The sequence below is a fragment of the Homo sapiens genome, chromosome 1, assembly GCF_000001405.40.
Source record: "Homo sapiens chromosome 1, GRCh38.p14 Primary Assembly".
Classification (NCBI taxonomy): domain Eukaryota; kingdom Metazoa; phylum Chordata; class Mammalia; order Primates; family Hominidae; genus Homo; species Homo sapiens.
This window is the reverse complement of record NC_000001.11, coordinates 58,421,740-58,433,125: the sequence shown is the minus strand read 5'-3', so window position 1 is coordinate 58,433,125 and position 11,386 is coordinate 58,421,740. Positions and strand designations below refer to the sequence as shown.

Below are 11,386 nucleotides of genomic sequence, written 5' to 3'. Positions count from 1 at the left end.
GAACGAAATAGGGGGGGTGTGGGAGGCCCCTCTTGGCTGCTCAAGCTCTGCTTTCTCACACAGCCTACAACCTCATTATCCACACATGGGAGCACAGGCACTCGCCTCCGGGTACTGTATGAGTCGGCTTGCAAAGAGGAATGCCTGGGAGGCAGACAGGATGCTGAGGCAAAGCTGGCAGCCAGCAGGAGGGGCCAGCCCTCTTCCCTGATGTCGTCACGTGAAGGGGGCTGGGGGGAGGGCTCGCAGAGCAGGAACTCCAGCCATGGAGCCCTGAAAGAAGCCCAGTTCATGTAGGCTCCTCTGTCCATGAGTGGGGAGGGATGATTTAGAGCTCACAGAAAGTGCCCAGACTCCTCCTACCTCCAGGAAAACACTCCTATTATTGGGGCAAAGTGTCAGTTTGGGATGCATTTGTGCCAGACTCTGATTGGGAGAGAGCGAGGTGGTCCTGGTCTTTAGGGAGCTCTTGGTTGGGGCAGGGGGAGGAGTGACAGCAGGCAAGTAAATACTTCCCATTTTGTATTATTAATAAGTTCTATGACCAGATAAGTACAGGCACTACAGAAACACACAAAGAGACCCTGCTCCAGACTTGGCGGGTAGGCCTGGTGGAAGAGGTAACCTCTAATTTGTGTCTTGACTCATTTATTCATTCATTCAACCAGTATTTGTGAGGAATCAGCCATGTGTCAGGAGACATTGTGTCAGGTGCTGGGGATACAATCATGAGTCAAAAAAATTTTTTTTCTTTGATTTTGAGGAACTTAGAGTCTAGGAGAGAAGGCAGATGTAACAAGTACACCAAAAACAATGTAAAATTAAAATGTTTGTGTTAAATGCCATTAAGAAAAATAATAGGAACTTTAGGTGGAGTGTCTAGGGGAGGGTTCCTCCCATCCCTAAGAAAGAGAGATTCACACCAAGAGCTGTAGGGTGCCAAGAAAGCAGCCATGCAAAGGATGGGCATGGAGAGCATTCCAGGCAGAGACCCTGAGATAGGAGGAGCCGGTGGAACCAAGGATGAGTAGGGACAGCCTGGAGACGGCATTCTTGGCATGACATGGCAATGAGTGGGGAGTCCAGGCCCTTCCACATTTGTTCCAAACCCATCGCTCCAGAGCTTCTGAGAAATCTATGTTCAAGCCCTGGTCAGCTTCACACCCATCCTCAGGCCACTGGCCCGTAGTCCCACATGTCAAATCCTCCTAAAGTGGTCACGCTTTCCTCTGAGTTCTCAGCCTGGAGTTGTTCACATCTCATCAGTTCACATCTGTCTCCCCAGCAAGGGGGTCAGGCCTCTGTGTGCAGAGCCCATGGCTTAGACCAGGCAGGTGATCAACAAATGTGTCCAAAGAAGGGAGGGAGGAAGAAAGGAAAGAAAAAAAAAGGGAAGAAGAAGGGAGCTAACTGTTAAACAACAGCATAGATACTTAATACTTGCAAAGGATATATTAAAAAACCTTCGTAAATCTAGATATTTGTAAATATCTGTGTAAAATATATATTTTTGTCACAAAACTTTTTCTTTTTCTTCTTCTTCTCCCTTTTTTTTTTTTTTTTTTTTCCAGATGGAGTCTCGCTCTATTGCCCAGGCTGGAGTGCAGTGGCGTGATCTCGGCTCACTGCAACCTCCACCTCCCGGGTTCAAGCGATTCTCCTGCCTCAGCCTCCCAAGTAGCTGGGACTACAGGCGCCCACCACCACGCCCGGCTAATTTTTGTATTTTTCATAGAGATGGGGTTTCACCATGTTGGCCAGGATGGTCTCAATCTCTTGACATAGTGATCCATCTGCCTCGGCCTCCCAGAGTGCTGGGATTATAGGAACTTTTTCTTTTTAAGTGCCTTTGCTTTCCTAGTCTTCATTGCTTTTTCTTCCCTTCCATCACTGGCATTAGCTCTTGGATTTCTTTTTTTAGGAGCATGATTCACAGAGAAGCCATTTTTGGTACATTTTTAGGAATCACATCATGAGCATTACCTTGTAAACCTCAAAAGCCATGCTGAGATCTGGATGTTGGAGTTCCCAAATCCAGTCACTAGCAAAGCAAATGGTTTTCAAAAGCCAAATTAATGATTCTGCAAAATGACAAATTACTATGTGTCATAGACCTCAGGGATCCCCAGAGAATAGTGAAAACGGAGAATGTTAAAGCCGGGAATGCTAATGGCATCTGCGTTCACCTGTGAGGTGTGAGGGGGCCTCTGGGAAAGACTTGGCAACTAGTTCTTCTCTCCAGATGCGGCTTGCTCTCGCTCACACTGAGCCACAGGTTTAGCTAAGTACTTGGTTACTAAGGAAACCCAAGTTGTCAGTCCTGAGCCATATGGGAATAATAGTGATTTATTTAGGAAAAGCAAGGTTTGTCACTTTAAGCTTTCTGCTACAAAATTGCTTTTTGATTACCTCCCTCCTTATTGCATTGTCTTGTCACAATAAACTACAGAAACAAGTGGCAAGGTTAATCATTATGGGCTCCGTTCTTGTCACTCTCAGGGCCCAGCAAGGTCACAGCTGCAGCCTGAGTGTAGCTGGCAGTCTTCTTCAAACTCCTCTGGAGAAGAGGGTTTCCCAGAGCCTCCTGACTTTACACTGCCCCAGGGCACTTCTGGCGCCACAGAGTTCCTAAAAATCAGCCTTTCCAGTTCTTCTTCTTGTCCTCCTTTTTTAACCTGATATGATCTCTTACATTATGTATTTCAATTTTTCCCTCTAGTCCTCCTAGTTCTGAATGCAACCCATCCTCCAGACCCAATCAAATGCCACTTCTTCTCTGATTGAAGTCCTCCACTCAGGCCCACAGTTTGCACTCTCTGTCAAGACAGCTTATTGAGTAACTATACCAGTGCCCTGCACTATGCTAGACTTTTCACATAAGTTACCTTATTTTGCCTTCACAACCAGCTACAAGTTGGACATTGCTGGATGTGCCCTGGCTTTGTGTCTCACCCAAATTCATATGTTGAATTTGCACTGGCTTTGTGCCCCCTGCAAATTCTAACCCTGAAGTGATAGTATTAGGAGATGGGGCCTTTAGGAGGTGATTAGATCAGGAAGGTGGATCCCTCTTGAATGGGATTAGTGCCCTTATATAAGAGGCCACAGAGAGACCCTCACTCTTTTCTGCCATGTGATGTGACATTGACAAGACCTGGGGGATGCCCTGTGGGGCCTATGAACAAGAAAGTAGATGCTCACCAGATACCAAATTTGCAAGCACCTTGATCTTGGACTTTCCAGCCTCCAGAACTTTGCAAAATAAATTTCTGTGGTTTATAATCTACACTGTTTTGTTATAGCAGCATGAATAGACCAAGACAGTCATCATTACTATATTTGCTTTACACTGAAAGCAAGCGGTGCTCAGGGAGTGGGGTTCCTTGCCCCTGACTATAGTTTCATTAAGTGAAGACACCAAATTGGACCATCCAGCATGGTCAGGCCCTTTCCACTACTCCATGCAGTCTCTCTGCTTTCTCTCTCTCTATCTATAAACTTCCTCCACAGGAAGCCCTTTCTTGGCTGCCTCCCTTACTGTACTGAGAGTTCCCAAAAGGGTGTACTCAAGAGCACTTCTCAGTCTTCATCTGACAGTCCACCAGCAGCCTCTGACACAGGGAAAGGCCTTCCTCTGTTGCCTTCCAGCACATCTCACTGTGATCGTCCTCCCACTGCACTGACTGTCCTGCTCTGTCTCCTTTGCTAGTTTCTCCTCAATTCCTGGACTCCTGCAGGTTGAAGTGCTCTCGAACATAATACTCCATCCTCTTTTCTGTCCCCGCCTGCTCTCTTGATGTTCTCATCCAGTCTTATAACTTTTGTTGCCCTTTATGTCCTGGTGACTCTCCCAACCCCACCACGTACCATTTAAAATTACAAACAATTTTTTTTAGAGACAGAGTCTTGTTATGTTAGTCTTGAACTCCTGTCCTCAAGTGATCCTCCTTCCTTGGCCCCCCAAAGTGCTGGAATTATAAATGTGTGCCTGGCCTCCCTTCTGCCCTTGCACATAGTAATTGTGTACTATATACTTTTACATATAGTCTAATTTCACATATAGTAAACTGTGCAAACATTATAATTTTATGGGTCTTATACTACACGATTACAAAACATATGTAACCATCACCCAGATCAAGATTGAACGTTTCTGTTACTCCAGAAAGTTCCCTTGTGCCCCTTTGTAGTCAGCAGCACCCCTCCCATAGGGGACTCCTTTACAATGAGTTTTGCCTGTTCTTGAATTTCTTGTGTATATTCTTTTTGTGTTATTTATTATCTAATAACTACTTAACTAGACCTTAAAAAATTATGGATAATTTCAAACATGTACAGAAGTATAAAGGATGGTATTATAAATGTACATGCTCTAGCACTCTACTCTCATCAACTTTCCTCTCTTTCCAATAGAGTATTTAGAAGCAAATCCTAAACATAACACTGTTTGAACTATAAATATTTTAATATATTTTTTAAAGATAAGGATTTTTTTATTAAACATAATCACATACCATTATCACACCTAATAAAATGGCAATAGCTTCTCAATGTTATCAAATATCTAGTCAGTGGTATGGTTTGAATTGGGATCCAAATGATGTTTATATATAACATTCAGTTGACATATAGCTCTTTGGTCTCTAAATGTATGGATACCTTTGTTTTATTTTATTGCAATTTATTTGTTGAAGAAACAGGGTTGTTTGTGTTAGGAGTTTGTCACATTCTGGATTTTGTTGACTGTATCCACCTAGTGTCTTTAAACATGTTCCTCTGTCTCCTGTATTTCCTGTAAATTAGTGAGCAGATCTGGAGGCTTGATTGGAGCCAGTTTTTGTATTTTGGCAAAAGTACTTTATAGCTGGTGTCTGATGGGAAACACACTATGTCCAGTTAGTGGCTTTGTGATGCCATTGATGATTACTGCCTAGCATCAATATTTCATCAGGGGTTAACAAAATGGTGATCATCTAACTCTATTATTCTTTCTTAATTTATCAGAATACTTCCCTCATCAACTATTTGATTACCTGGAAGTGCAATTCAAAAAGGAAAGGCAGCTTAAATGCTTAATTATTTTGTCTTACTTCCCAGTTTTTGAATAATGAGTTTATTCTTTAGCATCCTCAAAGGGACCAATGATATATTTTTCAGTTTCATTATGAAGGCATGGATTTGCAAATGTATTATGTGTATGTCTACCCATTGCAGTTAATATTCTTATTGAATGAATTGTCCCATCTTTGGCTGGTGTAAACCTCTTCACGCTGGCTGAGTTGATGACCCTTACATTTTTATCTTTATTTCAGGCCTCTCCCCTGAACTCTAGATTTACATGACCAACTCCCTATCTAACATTTTAAGATAAAGCACCTCGGACTTAATATTTACCAAGTCAAACACTGGATCCCCAAATTCCTGGCACCGAAGACCTCCCAATCTTATTCAGTGGCAACTGCATCTTTCCAGTTGCTTGGACCAGAATCTTGGAACTATCCTTGGCTCTCCTTTTCTTTTCACACCCAAAATCCAGCAGATACTGCTGGCTCTGTTTTCAAAATATATGAACAGTCGAATCACTTTTAACCAGCTGCACTGCTGCCACCCTGAACTAAGCTTTCAGCACCTCTCACCTGAATTAAGTCCATAATCTCCTAACTGTTCCCCTCGACTCCACTCTTTCTCCCTACAGTCTTCTCAGTAAACAGCCTTGGTGGTGCTGTTCAAATAAAGCCATATCATAAAACTCTTAAGATCAACACTGTCAAGGCCTTCCTATCTCATTCGGAGAAAAAATAAAAGTCCTTAGTATGTCTAGAGGGCCTTAAGGTTCTATCCAACTCTGACAGACCCCACTACCTTGGTCTTAGGTACCCCACCTTTCCCCTCCTCACTCTACTGCATCTCTTCTCATCTCATTCAGATCTTCTCTACCCCACACCACCTTACTTGCATAACCCTAACCACACCCCTGCCTGCCTCCAATCCACAGTACCTTCCTCACTGCACTCTACTCCACCCTACTCCACCACACTCCATGTACACTGGTCTCCCTCTAGCTTCTTGACCGCTCCTGGCACGTGCTCAATTCAGAGCCTTTGCACTTGCTGTTCCTCTTCCCAGAAATATCCAAAAGGTGAATATGCCCTCACCTCTTTCAATGTCTTGCTCAAACCTTTTCTTTGCAGTGAGGCCTTTCCTAGCAACCCTTTTAAAAATTGCAATCCTCCCACTCCAGCAGTCCTGATTCCTCCCTGACTTAATTTTTTTCCATAGCACTTATCACCATGTAATAGAGTATAGATTTTACTCATTTATTTTTTAATTTTATTTTGAATTATGTTCACTGTCAGATCTTTAGGCCCTAAATAGAGTCTGGAAGATAATATGCATTCAATACAAGTGTGCTCACTGCAGGAATACAAGAAGGTGTCTGTTTCTCTGTCTCTCTCTGGTAGAATGTAATCTCCACAAGGGCAGGGGTTCATTTCTTTGGTTTCCTGCCTTTTTTCCTGCCTTTGGACTTGAATTGAAACAGTAGCCCTTTCTGGATTGTGAACAAACTGGCCATCAGCCTAGAACCACGCCATTGGCTCCCCTGGATCTCCAGCTTGTTGACTGCAGATCCTGGAATTTGTCAAGCTCCAAAATTGCATGAGCCAATACCTGGTTCCTACACCTGGTATGTAGTAGGTACTTAATAAATATCTGCTGAATGACTCTCAGTCTTCAGCATAGTGTCAAATTCATGGCAGGTGTCCTCAATATGGGTTAACTCTCTTTCTTCCTGTTTCCTGAAGTCCCCTGTCTAAATCCAGGGTGGAGGCCAACACTACCCTGAGCAGTAAGAAGCATGTGGTATGGTAGACAGAGCCCTGGGCATGAGATCAAGAAACTGTCTGAGTCCAAGGCCCACCATTTTACCATGGGGCCCTAGGTATGCCACTTAACTTTTCTAGGCCTCAGTTTTATCACTGCAAAATGGAATAATAATAATCTCTCCAGGAGCAAACTCCCAAGGGTATTAAGGGAAAAAGCAAAGATGTGGCAAAGTGCCTTGCAAACTTTAAGTTCCACTCCTGTACTTTGGACCCTTTCCACTCCCTGTAAGGGCTCTCCCCTTCTTCCATTCCTTCAGCACACAGACAATCATTGTTTTAAAGATCTGTCCTAACCCTACCTTCCACCACCCAGACTATTCTTCTGTACCCCGCACTTTGTGTCTCTTATTTCTCGCCTCCCACTCATCCTCAGGGTTGGGGCCAGAAGGCTTCTCCCCTGCCAATCTGCTTGATTAAATCTAATGGATTCTTTTCAGTGTTGAACTCTGCCATGTTTGACTGTGTTGACCAGGCCTTTGAGAAGGTTTTCTTTCCTTTATTTCAATGATGATACTCTGTTGATTCTTCTTTCACTTTTTAAAACTCCTTCTCACTCTCCATAGTAGTTTTCTTTTCTGCTTATCCTTAAAATACTAAGGATTATTCTGATTCTGTCCCTGGCTCCTTCTCTTTTCATCCTATGCTTGTCCTGTATTTCATCCTATATTTGTCCTTGGCAAGTTCTTTGCCCTAAAGGCTCTAGTTACTGTTTCTCTGCTGACGTCTCTCAGATCTGCATCTAACACTGATGCTCTTCTGAAATTCAGACCCCATAAAACTCTACGGCAGAATGCCAACATGGGCTAGCTTAGGCAAATACTAAGAGAAGGCACTGGCACACAAAGCTAGCCTAGGAACGGGCAGGGAAACAGCTGGACCCTGTGACAGCTAGAATTAGGGATGTGAGCACTGTCAGGACATGGCTTGTCTTTCATGTTGGCTCCATTCTCTCAGTCTGGCTTCAGGACTTTCTGGCAGTCCAGAAAATCTTTAGGCTCACAACTTTTATAAAAAAGAATGAAAGAGGCTCTCTGGACCTGGTTAGAAAATCCTGGTGAAGAATGCAGGGGGGCTTGTCTTGTTTCAAGGGTCTATCTCTTCATGAATTAATCTAGGCAGAACCTCAGACAAAGATATCAGCTTCCATTTAGATCACTTATTTCAAACAATATCTGAAAACAGAGGGGCTGTAGGAAGGGATTCTGGGATATAAAATGACAAATGTCCATTACGGAGCCATATGCTTAATGCTTAGCTATCTACTAGTATCCTATGGAAAACATAGGATTGCCTCCACACATTGCCTTCCAAACTGTGTTCACCCACCCACCCACACCACCTCACCAAATGACATCATCCTTTCAGTGCTCCTCAAAACAGAGGCTTAGAACTCATCATAGATGCCTCCTTCTCCCTCATGCTTAATGTTTGACTGGTCCCCAAGCCCTATTATTTTATTTTTTAAATGCTTCTTGATCCCTCCTCACTCTCTGTCTTTCATCTTCACAGCTATTATTTTAGTTTTGAGCCCCCATTCCTTCATCCCAAAACAATTGTCACAGCTCTTAACTGGTCTCCTTGTCTCCAGTCTTGCTCCCTGTATCGCCTAGGGTTCACTGAAACAAGTCCCATAGAAACAAAAACTACTCTAGGTTTTCCTCGAAAGATATTTAAACAGAGAGAGTATAATTAACGGTAAGGAGTGTGTTTGGACCATGTTCTCCTGGAGGATTGCACTATGTGGGAGCCATCTAGAAAGGTGGGTGCAGATAAAACCGAGAGAATCCCCACAATAGGTGGTGCAAAATGGTTCATTTTATGTGTCAGTTTGACTGGGTCATGGGATGCCCAGATAACTGGTTGTGTTTATGGGTGTGTTTATGATGGTGTTTTTGGAAGAGATTAACATTTGAAATCGGTAGACTGAGAAGGCAGATTGCCCTCCTTACTGTGGGTGGGCCTCATCCACTCAGTTGAAGGCCCAAATAGAATAAAAAGACTGAATAAGAGGAAACTCTTCCTTCCTGACTGCCTTCCAGCTGGAACATTGCCTTTTTTCTGCTTTTGGACTTGAACGAAAATGGTAGCTCTTCCTGGATGTTGAGCAAACTGGCCATCAGCTTGGAACTAAGGCCTCTCCCTCCCCCTTCACCTCTCTGCTGAGACAGAAGACCTCTTCTGGTCCAAGGACATGGCAGAACTCCTTTAGGAGAGACTAGAGAGTTTAGTGGGAGGACTAAATGGGGAATAAATGAAACAAGCCTTGAGAAAAGGAGAAATGCTCTCTCTTAGATCCTTTCCTTGGGGCTGGTATTTATTAGGAGCCTTGCAGGAAATAGTGTTTAACTAAAGAGATTATTTAATAATTGAATTGAATAGAGCTGTGGGCAAGGTTAAACAAGCCAAAAAGCCATGCCGATGCACTCAGGGGTTAGCAACAGTTGAAAGCCATTATTTCCCCTGTGCCTTGCAGCAAAAGAGAAGATGGTGGTGTTACTGGAGCCCACGAAGAAGGTCACCTGGCAGGAGCTGTAGCCATAGAAGGATGCAGACACTGCCAGAAATTCAGTGCTGAAATCTGGAGTAAGTGGGGCAGAAACACCCACTTCTTTCTCCTCTTGCCTTGGATCTTCTGCCAGTGGCATTGACTGATCCATCTGGGAGCTGAAGGATAGGGAACCCTGGTGCTGCTCTGCTTGGAGGTCGGCCTCATGGCAGAAATGGCAGACGGTGCGGTTGGCAAGTGGAGGATAACCAGCACAGAGCTGGGGCTGGGAGAAAAGCCTAAGTCTACCTCCAGTTGGAACTTCCCTCCACCTCTTCCCCTCTCTTGGAGCACAGACAGGATTGCAGAAGGAGGAAATGCCATCCAGCTTAGGTGATCAGCTCTATGCCAGAGGGAGAGGCACTCTCTTTTTTGATATTGGACTTGGCAAGGCTCTTCTTGCTGTGGAAATGATGAGATCTGGAGGTCTAAGACTGGGATGTAGTCAAGGGAATGGCCAAAGGAGCAGTTTATTGCTCAAATTCCTGTCTGGCTTTTAAGCTGAAGGAGCAAAAGAGGTTTCTCAGGCTTTATATGGACAACCAGATAGGGCTCTGGGGCTGAAGACCTGACTAGTAGTGCACATCACATTTTCCTAGAAGGTTATTTGCCTCGGAACAGGGAAGAGGTGGTATGATGGAGAAGGGGGATTGGAACTCAACGGCCATTCTACCTTCCTTCTAGTGTGCTTTTCTGTGCTGCAGCATCTCAAAAGATAAAACTTACCTATCTCAGAGTCTCTTGCAATTGGGGTTCTAGCTGTCTTTGGAGTTTGGCCAATCAGATTTGCTCCTGTTAGATTTAGAAGAAGTGAGAGAAGCCTTGCTTCTGCTGCTTCTGCTGGAAACCATAGTTGCAGAGGCTTGATTTTTTTCTTTTTTTTTGCAGTAGCATTAGCAGAGGCTCCACTGTCCACCAAACAGCATCATGGGTGTTGAGATGGTGGTTGTCAGGCAGCAAGTCAGCTGGTGTGGGTTGTGATAGGTACAATGTGGCCAAGCAGCTGGCAGTAATAATAGTTGCCTCCTGGTGCCACTGCACTCCAGCCTGGGCGACAGAACGTGACTCTGTCTCAAAAAAAAAAAAAAAAAAAATTTGCCTCCTGATAGTGGCAGCTTCCTCATCACATAGCTTCCTGACCGTGACCATGAAGGTGGATTACAGCTGGTGGCTTCTGGATGGTAGACGAGACAGCAGCTCTCTTGGGGCCTGTGATGTGGCTTTGGGAGTTTATTCCTGAACAACCAAACCTTGAACTTGTCCTCAGCACTCAAAACCCTCATGGCCATTTAATCAGTGTAATAAATTCCATTTTTGTCTCAACTAGCTAGGGAGTATATTTTGCCCGCAGCTGGATGTTAAATAAAAGAAGTGTCCACAGCAATACTAATACTAGATAACATGGAGTGCTTACTATGTGCCAAGTACTCCAAGCACGTACCATGAATTATTTCTTCATTCAATTCTCGTGACAACCCTGTAAGTTAGGCGTGATATTATATTAACTCTCAGGTTGTAAATCTGAGGTCCACAGAGATTCAGTAACTTGCCCAACATCACCAGATTTCAAACGGTGGGAATAGGTATGAAATGCGTTCTGGTTCTAGTGCCAAGGTTATTTAACCCTTGTTCCATGAGGCAAGTAGGCTGAGGATTCTGGAATCCCAGAACTCAGACATCATATCCTTTTTTTTTTTTGACGTCTACTTAATAGCACCCAAAGAGAAAACAGGGGTCTAGAGACATTGTGCATCTCGTACAAGGTCATGTGCCTAGTAAGTGGCTGAGCTGGGATTCAAACATGTCTCCTTGACTTCAAAACCTATACTACTGCCCACTTCACAATCTGTTGCTGCGGCCTCATGACAGCCCTTCAAATCTGAGAAGACCGCTCTCTTATCTCTGCGACTTCTCTTCTGCAAGTTAAGCATGCTGAGGACTCTCAAGCTGCACCTCT

At 44.0% G+C, this 11,386-nt stretch overlaps 1 protein-coding gene across 1 annotated transcript in view; it reads left to right on the top strand.

The window, feature by feature from the left end:
- The window catches only part of DAB1 (DAB adaptor protein 1), a 1,551,949-nt gene that overhangs the window by 113,601 nt on the left and 1,426,962 nt on the right, over window positions 1–11,386 (top strand). The window lies entirely within an intron of this gene.